The sequence below is a fragment of the Homo sapiens genome, chromosome 2, assembly GCF_000001405.40.
Source record: "Homo sapiens chromosome 2, GRCh38.p14 Primary Assembly".
Classification (NCBI taxonomy): domain Eukaryota; kingdom Metazoa; phylum Chordata; class Mammalia; order Primates; family Hominidae; genus Homo; species Homo sapiens.
The window spans coordinates 235,354,281-235,375,096 of NC_000002.12; positions in this window are offsets into that span (position 1 = coordinate 235,354,281).

Consider the following 20,816-nt stretch of genomic DNA (forward strand, 5'->3'; position numbering starts at 1 on the left):
TTATACAAAAAGACATAACACTTGCTGGGTGGCTTTTACCCACGATTTTGTAAGCTCCTGAGCCCCTTCTGCTTGTGAATGCAGGAGGGAGACCATTGCTTCCAGGTAATGTAGTGTTCTAGATGGAAGTACACACCTTCTACACAGGCTCAGGAGACAGACCAGCCTCTGAGCACCCACCATGTGCCAGAAACTGTGCGGGGTGCTTCGGACATGAACATAAAACACAGCTACTCTCTCTCCTCGCCCAGCCCTGCCTCCCACCCCTGGCTTCACTTGGACTCCTTAGCCCAAGAGATTGAGAGCAGCCTCTCCAAGGGGAGTCACACAGTTCTCATATCCCCCCTAAAAATGGAGGAGTAGAGAACTACATACACCCTCCCTATCTTCTCTGTCCTTTCTCTGCCCACCTCTCCTATCCAAATTCTGCAAAAAAGAGAGCAATAGATTGACCCTACTGACCTTGAAACCTACTCTTCCTCAAGGGGAAAGAAAGGGAGGGTGTCCTCGAAAAGCAGCACAGCCCTTGTGGTCCAAAGAGTGGTTCTAAACACAACTCACTGTGCCCCCAGGACATTTGGAGACTTCTGGAGACATCTTTGGTTATCTCAGCTGGGGGTAGTGGGTGCATCTAGTGGGTAGAGACCAGGGAAGCTGCTAGACATCCTCCAATGGACAGGACAGCCCCCATCAGCACGCTCAAAATGTCTTCGTGTTGAGGTTGAGGAACCTCGGTCCAAAGAGACTGAGCCAGCTAATATGGAGAGATCAAGACAAACCCATACTATCCCTGGGGAAAAAGTCAAACAGATGCTAATTTACAAATACTGTGTTTACTAATTAACTTATTCAAACAGCGCAATACCTACATTCCTCAGGTTTTCCACCACAGTCAGCAGCATTGCTTATGCATATTTGATTTCCTTCCACCTGGGCAACAGGACATTGGAAAAGCAGAGCTTAGAGTGAGGGGGGAAATGAGAGGCTGGCAAAACTTACACAGATTATTTTTCTTTTTTTTTTAATTTTATTATTATAATACTTTAAGTTTTAGGGTACATGTGCACAACGTGCAGGTTTGTTACATATGTATACATGTGCCATGTTGGTGTGCTGCACCCATTAACTCGTCATTTAGCAGTAGGTATATCTCCTAATGCTATCCCTCCCCCCTCCCCCAACCCCACAACAGTCGAGAACACATGGACACAGGAAGGGGAACATCACACTCCGGGGACAGATTTTTTTCTAACCTAGCCGCACAACTGCACTAAGTTTTTATACAGACCTTCTGCCTCATCAGCTTCCATCTCATCTCATTTCATGCTGGATCTAGAATTGACTCTGCTGCAGGAACACACACACTGCCTGACAGTGCTATCTTAAGGGCATTTAAAAGGAAACAGATGGCCAGGCACAGTGGCTCATACCTGTAATCCCAGTACTTTGGGAGGCCAAGATGGGTGGATCACCTGATGTCAGGAGTTCAAGACCAGCCTGGCCAACATGGTGAAACCTCATCTCTACTAAAAATACAAAAATTAGCCGGGTGTGGTCACCTGGCTACAGTAGCACATCTGTAGTCCCAGCTACTCAGGAGGTTAAGACAGGAGATCACTTGAACTCAGGAGGCGGAGGCTGCAATGAGCCGAGATTGTGCTACTGCACTCCAGCCTGGACAACAGAGCAAGACTCCATCTCAAAAAAAAAAAAAAAATGGAAACAGATAATGAAGGCTGGCCAATGAAATGCTTTAAAGGATTAGTACAAAAACAGAGGCTTGTGTTTTACCGAGAATAACAAGTAAAGAAATTGGATATTTGAATCAGATGTCAAGCTTGATTCTTTTATTTTACTGCTTCCATAATAAATGGAAATCTAAATTAAAATAAAGTCAGAGATGATTTTTATATTAAACTATCTTATATGTTCAAAAAGTAGCTCTTTGTGAAAGCCCCTGCCTCCTCACACTATAAATAATGCATAAAATGTTGAGAGAGGCTTTGATTGTAAAAATTATTTCGCCTCTGTTTATCTGCCTTTACGGCAGCCGGATCATTCTGTTTAGACTCTAAGGATTATGCCACACCTCTGGTGGTTTGAGTATTTTTTTTTTTTTTTTTTTAGATTGATGGGTTGTATGAGCTTAGTTTTCTCTTTTGGCTTTGCCGGCCACGTGAACAGAAACAGAAAAGGAAATGATCTCCTTTGGCATGGTTGTTATGAGTGACATGTGTCTGGGAGCCTTCATTTAATGAACTCATTTTCCACGGCCTTGGCTTTGCCAAAGGGTGGGATCTCCCTCATAGAGAAGCTGTACTGAGGTCCCACCAGGGGCCTCCCTTAACATCATTCAGGCGTGGATGACACCAACACAGATGCAGAGGGGAAAAGCATTTGCTGGCAAGAGGCATCCCACTGAGCTCATGCAGTCAGCTACTAGGAGCTCCATACCTCTTCATTCGGGCTGTGTCTCTGAGTCACTGAGTAACTGACACCTTTCCACTTCACCTTGAACCAGGTAGGTGTGATGCAGGCAAGGAAATCAGCAAGGTACCCAGACGGGGAAAAGATTCAAGATGACCCACTCTATGGTCACAGGTGACATGGATGGAGGCTTAGAAGACCCAAATTTTCCTGGTAAGAGTCCTAATTTTCAAACGCACAAGACAAGTTTATGGGTTTTTTTGTTTGTTTGTTTGTTTTGAGACAGAGTATTGCTCTGTCACCCAAGGGCTCACTGCAAACTCCGCCTCCCAAGTTCACGCCATTCTCCTGCCTCAGCCTCCCAAGTAGCTGGGACTACAGGCGCCCGCCACCACGCCCGGCTAATTTTTTGTATTTTTAGTAGAGACGGGGTTTCACCATGTTAGCCAGGATGGTCTCGATCTCCTGACCTCATGATCCGCCCGCCTCAGCCTCCCAAAGTGCTGGGATGACAGGCGTGAGCCACCGCACCCAGCATGTTAATATTTTTTAATGGCAGCTATTGTGTCTATGGCGTGCAGACCCTGTAGAAGGTGCCTCACAGGCCAGGCGCAGTGGCTCACACCTGTCATCCCAGCACTTTGGGAGGCTAAGGCGGGCGGATCACGAGGTCAGGAGTTCAAGACCAGCCTGGCTAAGATGGTGAAACCCCGTCTCTACTAAAAATACAAAAATTAGCGAGGCGCAGTGGCACGTGCCTGTAATCCCAGCTACTGGGGAGGCCGAGGCAGGAGAATTGCTTGAACCCGGGCGGCCGAGGTTGCAGTGAGCTGAGATCATGCCACTGCACTCCAGCCTGAGCGATAGTAAGACTCCATCTCAAAAAAAAAGGTGCCTCATAGATGTTCCTTCTTTCCCCGCCAACCCCAACAACCCTGCAACCCTGCCAGGTTGCCGTTGTCATTAAATTATGATTGTGAGGCTCAGAGAGGTTGTGCAACTTGCACAAAGTCAAAGTAAATAGTAAGTACGTGGTGGAGAAGGAAGGCTGCCCCACTCCAAAGCCCATTCCTTATTGTTTGAGACATTCCAAGAACAAGTACCTGTGCAAGGTGGGGAGGAGAGAAAAGTGTACCCACTGGCCCCTGTCTCCCACTGGTCAAATTCACCTGTGGGGGTGTCACCTTCCCTGCTCATCCCAGAGGCACATGTGTCGGGGCAAGTGACGGCCGTGGCATGTGCACCTCAGCCACAATAACGAAGCGCAAAGAAAGAGGCGTGTGATGCCCGGTAGGGAGGCGCTGCTGGGTTTTGCCTGCCAGTGACACTCGGGGTTGAGAGCTGCCACCACCGCAGGCCTCAGCAGCCTCGCTCCACGGCTGCAGCGCCCCACGCACCCTTGCTAGGCCCTGGGGTGGCACGTGAGCTTTGTCTGCCATGTGGCAGTCCTGGTGTTTCCATGGTTCCATGTGGCACTCAGTGCTGTCATTACTCATCCTCCACACATCAGAGATCAGAGATGAAGCTTCTGCCGGCTTCTAGGACGGTCTCTCCCAGTCACCTGTCAGGAGGTTGGGGAGACTACACCAGGGTGGGCTTGCACCCCGAGGCCCGCTGTGACCTGCTCAGGCTCGGGTTTGAGCTGGATAAGGGCACACTTTTCCATGGCAGCCATAGGCAGCAGCCTTCTCCCCAGGCCTTGACTGTTGGTCAGCTTCCTAGGCTGCCCTAACAAATCGCCCACAGCAGACACCTCTTCCGTCACAGTCCTGAAGGCTGGGAGTCCGTGGTCATGGTGTTGGCAGAGCCATGCTGTCTCCGAAGCCTCCAGGGAAGGTTCCGTCCTGGCCTCCTCCTCGCTTGTGGTGGCGGCGGAGGTCAGCCTAGGCATCTCTTGATTGACTTCAGCTACATCACTCCCATCCCTGCCCGCATCATCACGGGGCAGGGCCTTCTTCCCCGTGTCTCCTCAGTGTCTCTGTGTCCTAATCTCCCCTTCTCCTAAGGGCAGCAGCATTGGATTTAGGGCCCACCCTAATCCAGTATGACCTCATCTTACCTTGATGATATCTGCAAGACTCTATCTCCAAAGAAGCAAAGAAAGAAAAAAGCTCACATTTACAGGGACCAGGAGTGAGGGCTTCTACATCTTTTTGAAGAATACAATTCCAGCCACAATTTTTTTTTTTCTTTGAGATAAAGTCTCACTCTGCCTCCCAGGCAGTATGAGCAATCTCAGCTCACCACAACCTCTGCCTCCCAGGTTCAAGTGATTATCCTGCCTCAGCCTCCAGAGTAGCTGAGACTACAGGCGCCACCACACCCGGCTAATTTGTGTATTTTTAGTAGAGACAGGGTTTCACCATGTTGGCCAGGCTGGTCTCAAACTCCTGACCTCACGTGATTCACCCGCCTTGGCCTCTTGAAGTGCTGGTATTACAGGTGTGAGTCACCGCGCCCAGCCACCACAATTTTTTATCCTAGAAAGCAAGCAACACTCTGGTTGGCTGTTTCATCTCTCTCGCCCCTGAGAAAACCATCACAACCTCACTGTTATCAGCACAGATCCCCAAGGCTCAGCACTCTCTGCTTGCACTGAGGCCTCGGTGCCACCCCTGGGAGCACCTGCACTACTCTGTCTCTGCTGGTAACGTGCCCTTGGCTCCATTCCTACAAGGGAGCCAGTTCTACCAGAGCCTCTCTGAGTCAACCCCAACCATGGAGGACAGCCTCCTCCAAACCCCTCTGAGATGCCAGCAGCCCTCCTCCTGGGCACTTCCTATCTAGCTCTGAAGGGAGTGTCCTCTAGGTCCTTCTAAGCCCTCAGATCCTATGTGGCGCATCCACCCTAATATCCCGCCTCTGCGAGCCTTCTGACCCATTCCTCAACACCAGGCTTGGACACTTCACATCTCCCGTGGGGTCTGGCACCTCAGTGGGAACAGGGGATGCCAGGGGTGGGAGACAGGCAGATAGAGGTGTGGGTATGAGCAGGGAGCTGTGAGGCCACACCTACCCACAGCGTGAAGGATCAGGAGGAGCCACCACTGCAGGTGTTTCTCACCAACTGGATCCCAAAATACTGGGCCCTCTGGCCAGAAAGCAAGGCAAAGTTTTGGACCTGGAGTAGCCCCAAGGCTGAGCTGGGTCCATGTGAAGTAGGGCTTGTCTCCTCCCCACAGCCCTCTGGAAGGGGGGACTCATGTGGATGAAGAGAGGGAGCCACAGCAAGGCTATGCACCGTGCCCAGGGTCATGTGACCAAGAGGTGGCTGGGCCAGGATTCAAACAACTCCAGAGGAAGAGGCTTACTGGTTTAATGTGCTGCTGTGGTGGGGGCTTGCTTCTGCGGGATGGCTGCATGGCCTGTTAGCACCCACTAGCAGGAAAGCAGAGGCAGATGCCAATGCTTTAAGAAAACTTAAGGTTGATCTGGGCACACTGGCTCATGTCTGTCATCCCAGCTCTTTGGGAGGCCAAGGCGGGCGGATCACCTGAGGTCAGGATTTTGAGACCAGCCTGGCCAACATGGTGAAACCCCATTTCTACTAAAAACTACAAAAATTAGCTGGGTGTGTTGGCATGTGCCTGCAATGCCACCTACTCAGGAGGCTGAGGCAGGAGAATCTTTTGAACCCGGGAGTCGGAGGTTGCAGTGAGCTGGGATCGAGTCCCTGCACTCCAGCCTGGGTGACAGAGTGAGACTCTGTCTCAAAAAAAAAAAAAAAAAAGAAAGAAAGAAAAGAAAAACTTAAGGTTGAAAAACACTAACAATTGAAAAAGTATGTTTCATTGATATTTTGCTTCCTGAAAAGTGGCAGGACCCTCGCAGTAGTTTCCTTCTGTTGCAGAACCTGAGCCCTCCTCGGAAGCAAGACTAGCAAACCTCTTGCACGCACAGGCTCTCCCACTTATCACGGACCTGGTTAGTGGAGGTGACCTCCCAACATAGAGACACATTGGGCCTGGGAGGGCCAAGCTGAGGGCCCTTGGACAAGTGGCTTCAACATGCCAAGTTTCCATTTCCTCAAACCTGAAGGGATTAAATACAATTCTGTTTGAAGAGCCTCTCCTGTGATATACCAGGCCATACCATGTGATAGCCAATTTTATGTGTTAACTTGGCTGGGCCACAGGGCACTCTGACAGGTAGTTAGACATTATTCTGGGTCTCTCTATAAGGCTGTTTTCGGATGAGACTGACATTGAAATCAGTGGACTTTGAGTAAAGCAGGTTGCCCTACCTAATGTGGGAGGGGGGCCTCATCCAATTTGTTGAAGGTCCGAACAGAACAAAGAGACTGACTTCCCTCAAGCAAGAAGGAATTCTGCAGCAGACAACCCTCAGCCTTGAGCTGCAGCCTCGGCTTTCTCCTGGGTCTCCAGCCTGACGGCCCTTCCTGCAGAGTCTGGATTTGCCAGCTCCATCATCATGTGAGCCAATTCCTTGAAATAAATCTCTTTCTGTCTATACAAACCCACACATCCTATTAGTTCTGTATCTTTGGAGAACCGTGACTAATACACATGTTTTTAGAGAATAGAAATACAGGGCAGCTCCAAGATTGCAGGCTCAGCTTAGCTGGGAATGTCTGTCGCATTACCGGGCTTACAAAAGACAGACAACCTCACACCTAAAAGCATTTGGCTTACTGTTGGACTGAAGCACCCTCCCTTACTGTTCTTTGAAAACACCATGTTGCCAGCAAGTCTTTTAAAAATGATTCTAGGCTGGGCGCAGTGGCTCACGCTTGTAATCCCAACAGTCTGGGAGGCTGAGGTGGGCAGATCACCTGAGGTCAGGAGTTCAAGACCAGCCTGGCCAACATGGCAAAACCCCATCTCTACTAAAAATACAAAAATTAGCTGGGCATGGTGGTGGATGCCTGTAATCCCAGCTACTCAGGAGGCTGAGGCAGGAGAATCGCTTGAACCTGGGAGATGGAGGTTGCAGTGAGCTGAGATCACACCACTGCACTCCAGCCTGGAGGACAAAGCAAGACTCCATCTCAAATAATAATAATAATAATTCTAAATAGGCAGTAGTCAAGAGAAAAACAAGCTGCCCCTTACTGTCTCATCTTTAGCACCCCGATAGGAAAAGTCTGGTTTCTTCCAAAACTTAAAGATCTTGCTCTTAAAGTCTACACATCTGAAAGAGAGGATCATTTAGAGATGAAAAGAGCATCTCAATCATGTATGACTTCCTTCCACACCAGGATTCTGTCCATCTTCCTATTCCTAAATCATCCTGGACGATGACTTCCACCTTCAGCCGCACACGCCCTCAGTTAACACTTCTTTCCATTTCATTCTCCCATAAATGCAAAAAATAAAAAATAAAGAACAGAAAACAAAATGAGACTTCTTTTAGGCTTTGTAAGAGAGCTTCTTGTCGCGATGTTCCCATTCTTGTGATCATGAACCTGCTTTCTTTATTGGCAGGATCTTGGTGCCCAGTGATGCGGGTGCGATGCAACCTCTGCCACGTGTGCCTCCATGATCAACACACCAACAACGCAGGGGGAGATCTGCCCGCTCAGCTCTGCCACCTCTTTTCAGTTTATAGCAGTCCCCTGGCACAAGCGCAGCTAAAATGTGAACCCAATGAAAACTTACCCACCTCTGCCTTCCACACTCTTGTCTTCCTCTCTACATATAAAAATGCGTGGGGCTGATATGATTAACTGAAAGGAAGGCTCAGACTACCCCCAAATTGCATTGTTTTTATGTAAGTACCAAAGGCATTAATTCTAAAGAGATGGGACCAATTTGCATGGCAGTAGCAAGATACTTGCATCTATGTAAATTTATATAGAGATGGGTGGAATTTACGGAGTGTCTGCCACTTGAGTCAGCAGTGAGAAAATGGGTTGCTTTCCTTCCTCTCCCCATCAATGAAATGCTGAAAATGCCCATTGCCTCAATTCTTCTAACTTTTATTGTATTTGTTGTTTTGGTGTTTGTTTAGTTTGAATTCATTTTATTTAGTTTAATGATGCAAAACAAATGCAAAGGGACATAAAATGAAAAGTTCAAGTTCCTGCCCCTCTGACCTGTTTCCTAGGGAGTAAGCAACTCCCCCTTCATTTTCCTGGCCTGCAGCACAATCCTAGCAATGATACCTGGTATTTCTAAAGTTCCTGCAACTCCTAAGCTTTAGGTCAGCAGTTCTCATGCTCCAGCGTGCATCCAACTCACCTACAGCAACCCACTTAAGTAATTTTAAATCATCTAGCAGCCACAATAAAAAAAAAAAAGTAAAAAGAGGCAAGTGGCAGGAAAAGTTAATTTTATAAGACATATTATAATACACAATAAAATATCTTATTAAAATTAATTTCACCTGGTTTTTGTTCTTTTTTGAGACACGGTCTTGCTTCGTTGCCCAGGCTGGAAGTGCAGTGGTGCAATCATGGCTCACTGCAACCTCTGCCTCCCATGCTCAGGTGATTCTCCCAGCTCAGCTTCCAGAGTAGCTAAAACCACACCCAGCTGTTCCATACCACCACACCCAGCTAATTTTTGTATTCTTTTGTAGAGACAGGGTTTCGCCATGTTGCCCAGGCTGGACTCAAGTGATGCTCCCACCTTGGCCTCCCAAAGTGTTGGAATTATAGGCATAAGCCATTGCATCCAGCCTGGGAAGTTAACATTACAAATGTGGCTCGCATTTGTGGCTCAGGCTACATTGCTACTAGACATTGAGAAGACTCAATCATTCCTTTTACGGCAGCTTTTCCCAAAATATCTTCCTGAGGAGTGTCACAGGTGGTCTCCATACAAGGCCTCTTTAGTTAACTAATTTGACGAGTACCATTGTGTATTTCCTCTCTCTTTGGGAGATACACACACATTTGTACACAGGTAAGGACCCTGAGTTGTCCTGTGCTGAGAAGGCCAGCTTGACCCAGTATGTCCCAAATCACTGTATTTTTCCGTCTGTCCATGAACATTCCCCAGAGCTAGAGTTCCACGGCACACAGTGTCCTTTTTTTTTTTTTTTTTTTTGAGACAGAGTTTCACTCTGTTGCCCAGGCTGGAGTGCAGTGGCACCATCTCAGCTCACTGCAACCTGCACTTCCCAGGTTCAATCAATTCTCCCACCTCAGCCTCCCAAGTAGCTGGAATTATAGATATGCACCACCACACCCTGCTACTTTTGTATTTTTAGTAGAGACGGGGTTTCACCATGTTGCCTAGGCTGGTCTTGAATTCCTGACCTCAGGCGATCCACTTGCCTTGGCGGGTGGGGGTTACAGGCGTGAGCCACCATGCCCAGCCTACACAGTGTCCTTTGAGAAATGCTCAGCCCACATTCCATGGGAACAAGATCCCTCAGCAGTGAAGATCTCAGTGCAGGATTGATGAGGCTCTGTGCGAAAGGCAGCAGAGGAGAAGGCGATTTCCCTGTTCCGGGTCAGTAACAGCCAAGATCAGAATTAATGTCTGTGGAAGCAGTGATGGAAGCAGGACAGACGCTCAGTCTCATCAGTCACTAAGTCATCTTAATACCTTAATCATAGCCTGTTTTTCACAGGCAAGAAAATTTCTTCGGGAGAGAGTGAGCATAGCAAGCAGGGAATACTCTGCCAGCAGCATCACCTATGTGGTTACAGGGCTTAAAACTGTGAATATGTCCACTAATTTAGCAAAATGCTATCTGCCTTTAGAGGCCGTCAGCTGCTCTTTTGCAGGGTAGGGGGTTGTATTTAAGTGGTTTGTAAAGCCCTTGTCTCTGACAAATTGTCAACCGACTGTAGGGAAGTTAACAGTAGTCTACTCTCTGCTGTCTCTTTTTAGCAGGGGCCAGGTTGGGGGAGAGGACTCTGAAATGATCAGCAAGAGGACTGCTGTTAACACTGCCTGCTTCTTCTCTGACCTGGTGGACAGCAGCCACCTCCGTCAACCTGGACTGACTTCGCAGGTCCTAGGAAGATTCACTCGAGAGGCCTCTCCAATGTCACGGAAGGAGTGCCATCAGCTAGCCATGGCCTTGCGGACAGGGGCGGCAGGACCCTCTGGATGGTTCCACCAAGGCTGGGCCTTGTCTGGGCCGTGTCTTCCCACGGACACACTGAGACGGTCGCAGTCATAGCGTCTGCCCCACAAGGCACTGTCTCCTCTCAGGAGCCCCCATCACATGAGTGGTTGCAACTGCAGCAAGACAGACATCTCTGGACACCATGGACAGAAGCCAGGGACAGGGTTTTCTGTGCCCTCCATTCCCCATCAAACATGACTTCATACTCTCCGCAGAAGCTGCCAACCCACCCTTGACTTCTGCCTGTAGACAGTGGGGGTGGCCTGAGCCCCAGGGAGTGTCTTTGAGAGTCAGAGGTTGCCACTCAGTGACTGAGAAGGGAGGACCCACCTCTGCGCCCTGCAGGGACCACAGGGTTCCCTTCCAGTGAACAGGTGGGGATGTTCTGAAACTCCCCCTCCATACCTTGGAATGAAAGTTGCAGGGCTGTAGTAAAACTCCAGTTTTAACTTGCTTTATTCCTCTTTGGGATGCAAAGATAAGGTCTTCCTAACCTGTCCATGGAGGCACCCACATGGAAAAAAGGGAGGGAGGGAAGGAGGGAGGGAGGGAGGGAGGGAGGGAAGGAGGGAAGAAAAGAAGCAAGTTGTTTAAACAAATTTCCCTGCCTGGTTTCTGGGCTGCACTTCTCTTTCCTCGGTTGGGATCCACCACAGACAGCCTGAGAAAGCTCACAAGCTTGACCTTACTTACTGAAGGACAGTGGTCCCCATCTATTAGGCTCATCTGTCCCATTGAGAGGGTGCAGCTGTACACTCATGGGTCTCCTAAGGATTCCCCAAAGCATCCACCTGAAGTTTATCAGCAGGAAAAGGCTCCAAGGAGCTGAGGCAAGAGCTGCTGTGGGAAGGGGGTCTGGGCCAGAAGGCCCATCTTGCAAGGGAGGAGCCATCTGGGGGGAAAGCAGTAATGCTGGAAGTTGCCCCCACTCCAGCCACCAGCGCAGAACAAAGAAGTCAGAAATAAAGAGAGCTGGAAACTCACAAGCCCAGGAATGGGCCCTACCAAGGTGGGCAGGGCTCTGGGACACCAACGGGCACCCTTGCAGCAGAGCCAAGCACACCACGCAAGGCAGGGCTGCTTCCTCCAGCCACGCAGGGAGGCAGGAGCACTGGCAGCAGAGCTGGGGGCTGTGCAGGGGCTGACATCCTACATCCTCCCTCCCCTAGAAGCGTTCAGAAGCAGAGCTGGCCCTCAGCCAAGAAAGCCCCAAGATTCTTGGACAATACAAAGTGGAGGTCTCTTTTCATCTGTAATATGAGAATCTCTGAACTTTGTCTTCAAGGCACTCAGGACTTTAATAAGTTGCCATTATCTATGTACCTACACAGATACTAGTAGTGTGCTCTTTTATTCAGGGGAAAATCCCCCCAGAGGGATGGGACAGTGTCCACTTTGCACTCCAAATGTCCCCTTCTCTTGCTGTCCATCAGCCACTAATTCACCCAGTGAGAGGAGCCAGCTCCCAGCTAAACAGACGCAGCAGCATTTTCCCCTTGAACACAACTCAGTAGCCTGAGCTACGGGGAAGGGCAGAAAGTCCAAGAGGGATTTGGTCCGGGGAATTGGTCAGGCTGCCCTGGTGCCATAGTCTGCCTGGCATGGGAGCTGGCTACACCTTGTCCTTCATAGCCCTGACACTGGGGAAGTCTCTCTTGTTTTAGAACAAGATAGAAGAGCAAATGAATACATGAATTTTTTAAAACAGCAATGAAGCTCACCCTTTGGTCTTATTAGAATGTGATGGCTTGGGCGATAATGGGGAAGGACCAGGGGAGGGGCTGGAGCACAGCTAGGCAGGCTCACACCCGAGCTTCCGGCTGACACCACGGTGACTCCACCTGGCCCTCCCACGGAACAGGTCTTTCAGACTCTACATGGCTTCAACCCATGCCCCAGGCTCTAGCTCCTGCCACTCTCTGCTCCCAGAATATTGAAGCACATTCTTCCTTCCCCGAGGAAGGACAGCTTCCTGACCACCCAGCCAGAAACTGAACAGAGGCAGGCCCATTCATTCCATGGCTTGGGGAGCCATCAGCAAGTTAGGAAAAGAGGGTGTGGACCTTGAACCCGGTGCAGATCTGGGACATCCTTGGCAGGTCACCCAATGTCTCTGCACTTCCTTACCTAGGAGCTTGCCTCACTGAGGGAGGAGCTACATAAATCAAATCGTTAAGGGGCAGGAATGAGCTAATTAGCTGGCAAAGTGCTGGGCAAGGGTTCCACGATGTTGTTATTTTTAGGCAGCGGGTTGTGAATTGTGAAGCGTGGCTTCATTACAGCAGGATGTGTCAGCTTTAATGAGGTGCCTCATTGAAGTCCAACCACGCACATTACCACCTGTCCTAGGGCAGGTTCCATGGGCATGAGCCATTATGAGTCGCTAGGGGGAAAAAGCAGCCAGCAGGCAGGGCCAGGAGCCCCGGTCAGGAAATCATCCAGATATGCTTGATGGTCTGTGGACCCCACTTCCAACCCCACCACATTCCCCTGCTCTTTATGACAAAGCTCTTGAAAAGAGCTGTCCAGGACAGGTGCATGGCTGAGTCCTATAATCCCAGCACTTTGGGAGGCCGAGATGGGTAGATCACTTGAGGTCAGGAGTTTGAGACCAGCCTGGCCAACATGGTGAAACCCTGTCTACATTAAAAGTATAAAAATTAGCCGGGTGTGGTGGTGGGTGCCTGTCATCCCAGCTACTCGGGAGGCTGAGACAGGAGAACCTCTTATACCCAGGTGATAGAGGTTGCAGTGAGCCAAGATGGCACCACTGCACTCCAGCCTGGGTGACAGAGTGAGACTCTACCTCAAAAAAAAAAAAAAATAGAGCCATCCATAAATGCACTTCCACCTCCTCACCCTCCCCTCACTCTTCACCCCATTCCAGCAAGGTCTTCTCCTCATCACTCCACTGAATCGAACCTGGTTAAGGTCACCAAGACCTCCGCATCACCGGATCCAAAGGTCAGCTGGTCCTAACCACATTTGTCCTGCCTCAATCCCTTCCTGAGCTTCCTCGCCCACCCATCCAATGTTCTACTCCTCACTACTCCTTGGATGTCACATCAGCATCTCAAACTTTTCCTGTCCAAAATAGAATTCTTATTTTAACTCTTCTCACCCATTTCTCCACCAGCACAGCCCATATCAGTAAGGGGCAAGCTCATTCACCAACATGATCAGGCCAAAACAATGACCTCCTTCTTAACCCTTCTCTTTTCTTTCACTCTCTATATCCAATCCATTGGCAAGCCACGCCAACTCCACCTGCAAATATACCCAGGATCTGACCGATTCTCACCCTCACTACCGCCACACCAGTCTGAAGCACCTTCACCTCTCTCAGACTAGCAAGGTTTTCTACCTGGGCTCTCTCTGTCTGCTCTGTCCCCTGCAATCTACTTTCAACTTAAATTAGATCATGTTATTTTCATGCTCAAAATCATCATTTTCATTTCCTCATCTATAAAAAGCCTTTGGTCTATGTCAGCTCTGAAAATGTGGAAGCGTCACATCCCATACCTGTGCTCTGCCCCAGCAAAAGTACTAGGGAAAAGGAGGCAGCAGAAGAGATTGCACAAGGACATAACGTTTTCGGTCTCAGTGTGACATGCTGGTGACAAGACCATGGTAAGCACATTGACACACAGGTACCCTTCTGTTACAAAAGCTACTGACATGTCTCAGCAAGGAAGCAGTAGCAAAGGAGACAAGTTGGCCCATGAGGGAAACCATTCTTCTTTCTGCCTAGCCACTAGACGGCGAGGCCTGCCAAGAGAGTCGCCACGTTGATGGTGGGCCAGGGTTGTTCTTCATTTGCGATTGATAAAGTGACTTGGGATAAGAAACGGAATATGCGCTTTATTACCTGTCATGGAAAACCCCTTGGGAAAATCTAGGCAATACACAGGGAAAAGCACCTGTCCATTTCTATGGCTAAATCAGAAAATACTGTTTTAGGCTGGGCGCGGTGGCTCACGTCTATAATCCCAGCACTTTGGGAGGCCGAGGCGGGTGGATCACCTAAGGTCAGGAGTTCGCGACCAGCCTGACCAACATGGTGAAACCCCATCTCTACTAAAAATACAAAAATTAGCCGGGTATGGTGGTGTGTGCCTGTAGTCCCAGCTACTTGGAAGGCTGAAGCATGAGAATCGCTTTAACCCGGGAAGCGAATGTTGCAGTGAGCCAATATCACGCCACTGCACTCCAGCCTGGGCAACAAAAGCAAAACTGTCTCAAAAAAAAAAAGAAAATACAGTTTCAATTTTGGTGACTCTGTAATACATGCATTATTTAAAAAGCCTTTTTCAATTGTAGGCTTTCGTTTTCACAAAGAAAACGAGCAGCAAACTAAATCTGTAAAAATTTGCACTTTAAGCAAGAGAAAATGAATGTGACTAACTTAGGCGCTTGCTCATTTCACAAACAAGGAAGAAAGTGTTATCATGAAGAGCTCCAAAATCACGGTTTAAACATATTCCCAAGCTCTAATGTGAGCTCAAAGCAAAGCGAATTCTCACATTTTCTTTCAAGAGTCATCACCGAGGGGAAGTAGATGAATGCTTAAATACGTGTGAGTAATCTAGAGTAGAATGAACTTGACTGTCTACTCAAAAGTTGGTAAATGAAAATCTATTTCGTACCTTACACACTTAGGCAGTGCTCAGGGGTGAGGACATGCAGACCAAGTCCACGGTGGCCAGGCTCACCCAAACCCACCCTCTCCATCCTCCTCACCTTCCTATGCTGCCCACCTTACCCACACTAGCTCCTTTCCATCGGGCCTCAATTGTGTCCCAGGCAGCGTGCACAGGCCACCATAGCAGGGACATCAACCCCAAAGAAGAGTGAAAGTAATGTCTCTACTGTGGGAGAGCTCACCACAGTCCAGGAGTAAAGGCAGGGACAACCTCTGCTTCTCCTGGCAGGATGGGGGAAGATAAGAAAGAGGATCAGGTAGACTATGGCAGGAGTTTGGAGGAGGGGAAGGGTCCCTTCCATTACGGGGATCCAGGAAGATGGCTTGAAGGAGGGGCCTTGGACTGAACCTTGGGACTGTGAATGTTAGTGGTAAGGAGGGGCTCCCAAGGACAGGCCCCAGCACTCACAAAGACGACAGGTAGAAAAGCACATTGAGTGAACAGTGGTTTTCTGGCCTGGCTGCTGGGTAGTGTGAGAAGCTGAGCAGGAGAGGGAAGGAGGAGGAGAAGTAGAGGAAGGGCCAGGCCAGGGCAGAGAAGGCTTGCATGGTAGATGCTATAGAAGCTGGGCTCAATTCAGAGTGAAAAAGCATCACCTCTTAGAGACTACTGTCTAGGCATCCCAGAGCTGTACTTCCGGGGAGGACCCCCAGAGACCAGGGACCTTCCTGCTCTGGCCTGAGTGCCATTACCCTGACCCCAGCTCATGAAGCTGCTTCTTCATGAAACCTCCTTTGAAGTTGAGAATGATGCAGCCAAACCAGTTCAATTCGGTTCAGGTTCAAGAGCTGCCCGGAGGAAGCTCTGGGCTGAGCAGGTGCTGTATCAAGCTGGGTAGAAATGGAGGATCCCACAGGAAATATGCTCAGGTATGTGGGCAGGTGCATGGGCAAGTTGGCAACTCCTAAACTAAGCAGAAATCAACATTTCTCCACCAAATACTATAAATGCATCATGCATCAGGAGTTCCCGAAACCTTTTAGCTTTTGGGGTCTAAGTGTCAGACTCTAATGAAAGCTATAAGACCTCCCTCTCTGCAGCCACTCACATCCACACTAAATTGTAGGCCCCCAGCCCGTGGGCATCCCACGCCTCTCCTAATTTCCCAAGACTAGACTGTGACAGTGCCCTGGGAATGGGAACAGTAAGTGATTTATCTCCACAACAGCAAACGGTTAAACTACTCAACGAACCTGTGATTCTGGACCAGAGTCATCAGGCAGAGTAAAAATAATTGCTCAGAGACTGTGCTGCAGTTGCAGTAAGTATCGCAATTGCAACCCTTATTGTTGTCATCTAAATGAAGCCCAAAGGCAAGAAGCTGCCCTAGACCACGTCATGGGCACCCGCGTCACCTGGGAGGCATGAGGGCTAATCTAACCCCACCTGGCCCATTCTCTCCACCTGCTCACCATACTGGTTGCCCAGACTCTGGCTCCTCTCACTTCCAGACTTCCCAGTAGACCAGTTTCCTCTCATCTTATGCTTCTCCATTAGGATGGATAGATCCCCATCAACTTCTCAGCTCCACCTCAAATCCTGCCAGGAAACCTTCTCCTTAGAGTCCCAGGGCACAAGATCAGGGCTGAATCAAGGAACCCCAGCTCAAAAGTTACCAGCTGCTCATCCACACACTCCTGCAGACTCTGAACAGCTGCACACACACCTGCCCACATACCTGCCCATGCACCTGTCTACATAGCTACCCCCACACCTGCCCACACACCTGCCTACATACCTGCCCATGCATCTGTCTACATACCTGCCCACACACCTGTCTGCATACCTACCCACACACCTGTCTACATACTTGCCCACGCACCTGCCAATACACCTGTCCATGCACCTGCCCGTGCACCTGCCCACATACCCGAGCGCACTTCCTGTGGGCTCCTCCATTTCTACCCAGCTTGACACAGCACCTGCTCAGCCCAGAGCTTCCTCCGGGCAGCTCTTGAACCTGAACCGATTTGAACTGGTTTGGCTCCGTCATTCTCAACTTCAAAGGAAGTTTAAAATACAGACAGTCCCCGCTGGCTCTACTTATAACTTTTTGACTTTACAATGGGTTTATCAAAATATTAAATCCATTTTTGACTTATGATAGGTTTATTGAAATGAAACCCCAACCATAAGTCGAGGAGCATCTGTACAGATTTCTAGACCCATAAGTGGTATGAGCTGGAGCCTAGGAATCATTTCTCTCAAAAGCACCCCAGCTGATTCTGAGCTGCAGTCAAGGGTGTGAGTGCTACCCAGCCTGTAAATCCTGGCTCCCAGGTCCTGTGCCTCTAGCATTGCTAAAGAACTCCAGTGCCACCTCCATCTTCATTTCTTCAACACACATGGTCCAGGTACTTTCCTTGGCCCTGCGCAGTGCTAGGGACAGAGAGATGGGTAAGCGGGGGAGGGAACTTACGAGAAATTAGTAAGATATGATCCCTGCAATGAAAAAGCTCATTATCAAGTACAAATAACAGAAATAAGAATAAATCATACAAAAATTAGCCAGGGGTGGTGGCAGGTGCCTGTAATCCCAGCTACTCGGGAGGCTAAGGCAGGAGAATTGCTTGAACCCAGGAGGCAGAAGTTGCAGTGAGCCAAGATTGTGCCACTGTACTCCAGCCTGGGCAATAAGAGTGAAACTCTATCTGAAAAAAAAAAGAAATATGAATAAATCATTACTGTGCACAATGAACAGTTCTCCACTAACATAATTACCAAAGTTCCATTAGAGCTCAGCAAAGCAGAGGCTGCCCAAAAGTCAAAGGTGGCTGCCCAAAACTGCATCTGGAAGAACAAGCTAACCAAACAAAGAGAGGGGCCACCCCCTCATGCCAACCCATTTTCTTCTATGCCATCATTTTTCAGGGCTGTAAAGGAGGCCACTGCCAGGCTGGCTCATAATTTTGATAATCAATTTTCTATTATTCCATATTTAGGTTGCCTCTGGTTGATTTTTCCTTATTCTAAGCCTATCGCAAGCTTTCTGAATTAAAAATATTTCCCTCTAAAAAATTCCATACACAACTACCAAGCCTGAATAATTTACGAGGTTTTCTTCATCTGTGTCCATTTGAAAGGTGAAAATTTGAATATTACTTTAACTTATATCCCCAAGAATATTAATTGCAATTTAAAAAATATTTATTGACAATTTTTATTTCTTCCTCTGAGGATTTTTCTAGTCTGATAGTCATTTGCCCATTGCAGTGTTTGTGTTTTTTCTTGCTAATTTCAAAGAGTTTGTCTTAATCTTATAAAGATATTGACCTTTTATTGCATACATGTAATACATATTTTTAAATGTTTTAACATTTGTATACTATGTGTTTATTTTTATTTTTATATACAACATGTTTGGGATACTAAGGTTTTTTTGTATGTAGTAAAATCTGCCAATATTTTGCTTTATGATTTCTGCTTTGGTTAGCAGTACCTCATTGCTAAATTACATTTTTAAACTGCTGTACACTTAATAGCTTCTGCTACGTTGTCCCATATTACATGTCCTATCCATATATATTATAATTAAATATTGATTGAATCCATTCTTAATGGTTCAGTTTAGTGCATCAAAATTTTTGTCACTGTATAAGAAGCACTAGTTGCTCAAAGGAATCAATTATCCTACAAATATGAAAATCTTGTTCCTACCTTACATATGGGTTTAAGTAAAATGTCCTTTCTAATAGCTACAACAATTATCATTAAGAAACATATGCTTAAACACATCAGTCTAGCAGAAATCATTTTTTCCTTCTGTAATTGCATCTTGCAGAAGTGTAGTCACTATTCACTTCAAAGTAGCAAGCAATCAAGAGAATGAATTAGAGAGAGTCCTTGTTTAATACCTAACCTCATGCCCCCTTGGTCTTCAGAGCAGCTGCTCCTTCGCTTGCCAATTGAGAACCAGCTTCTCACCCTCAAACCATCAAAATAGCTTTCCAATGACTAAATTCAGCAAGCACATCTCTGATCCATCTGCCAGAGTATTTCGCTCTGCTGCCCTCTCCCACTGCCCTGCCACTCTCCCTCTTTTGGCTTCTGTGACCTACTCCTTCTAGTTTACACCCTGCCCCTTCTATCCCCCCCCCCACCCCCCAGCTCCCCACCCCTTGTCCAAGGCCCTCTTCGTCCATTTCCCTTTGACTACAGATTCCAAGCTCAGCTTCCTTTGCTCTACCCTAGCTGTTCTCAAAGTGTGGTCCCTGGACCAGCAGCATCAACTGGAAACGTGTGAGAAATGCAGATACTCAAGCCTCGCCCCCAACCCACTGAATTGGAAATTCTGGGGTTAGAGCCCAAGCATTGCTCCATGTAATCTCATCAAAATTTCCAAGCCGTTTTCTCCAGGCCAAACATCTTTTGTGGGCTTTAGACCCACGAATTAAATTCCCCAAAGGGCATCTCCTTTTCTGATGTCTAACGGCCACCTCGACTCCTCTGGGTGAAAATCATATCATCATTTTATCCAACCTGCCCACCCCCCACCCCGCCTACCTCCATCATTACCTCTCTGGATAGACAGCACCTCCCAATATCTCACCTCCTGCCAGTTTGCTCACATCTCACCTTCTCCTGAGTCCTGCCCCATCACTGTTTGCAAGACTGCAAGCTGTCACCCACCCACCTCTATCCCCCAGTCCCGCTTATCCTGACCACTCTTTCTCCCGCATAGCACTCACCACCCCTCTACATATTTGGTGTCTAGAATGGAAGCTCTGTCAGGAGGGGATCTTTGTTTTGTTCACGGTATATCCCAGACATGCAGAATAACGCCGGACGTGGAGGCATGCATTACAGATTTAAATGAGGGACTGAAACCCTCAGATTCACCGAGTTTTTCTTGCGTTAAGTTAGACTTAGAAAGCTAACTAAGGCATGACTTCATGAGTTACACATTATATTGCTGAGTGGAAAAAGCAGATTATAGAATATTCTTCTAGTGTGATGCATTCATTTGCAATGTACGCACATAGAGCGTGCGCAGCCAGAGAGTGACGTCTAGGAGGAGAGTCACCGAAACACTGTATTTAGTAGTTATCTCTGGTGATCTCATTCACACCTCCACCTCATGCACGTGCGTTTCAAACCCTACGGTGCCACGGGTCACGAATGAACTCACAGCCAGTTCCAGACGAAACGTTCCGTCATTATTTCCAGAATCTCAGCCGCTAGGTTTCGTCAGCTCCTTTTAGAAAACCCTCCACACGCTTGTCTCCTGTAGCATTGCTCTTCCCTGGGTCTCCTCCTTCCTCTCTGCTACTTTTCTTCCTTTGCTTCCATCTCCCCTTCTCCCTCCCCTCCGTCACCACTCGCCCACTCACTGACACCCTCTTTCTTCGCTGGTCTTTCCTAAGGCCTTCCTCACTTCACAATCCTTCCGGAAAAGCCCAGCGACTCCAGGGAAAGCCCAGGCCCTCCTGGTTTTACTCCACCCACCTGGGTCCTTAAGGACTCCTGGGCTGCAGCCTTACACGTCTAATTCCTGGCTGAACATTTTCACCTGGCCACTCAACTCCATGGGCACTTAAGAAAAACATCACTGGCTGGGCGTGGTGGCTCACGCCCAGGACTTTGGGAGGCCGAGGCGGGCAGATCACGAGGTCAAGAGATCGAGACCATCCTGGCAACATGGTG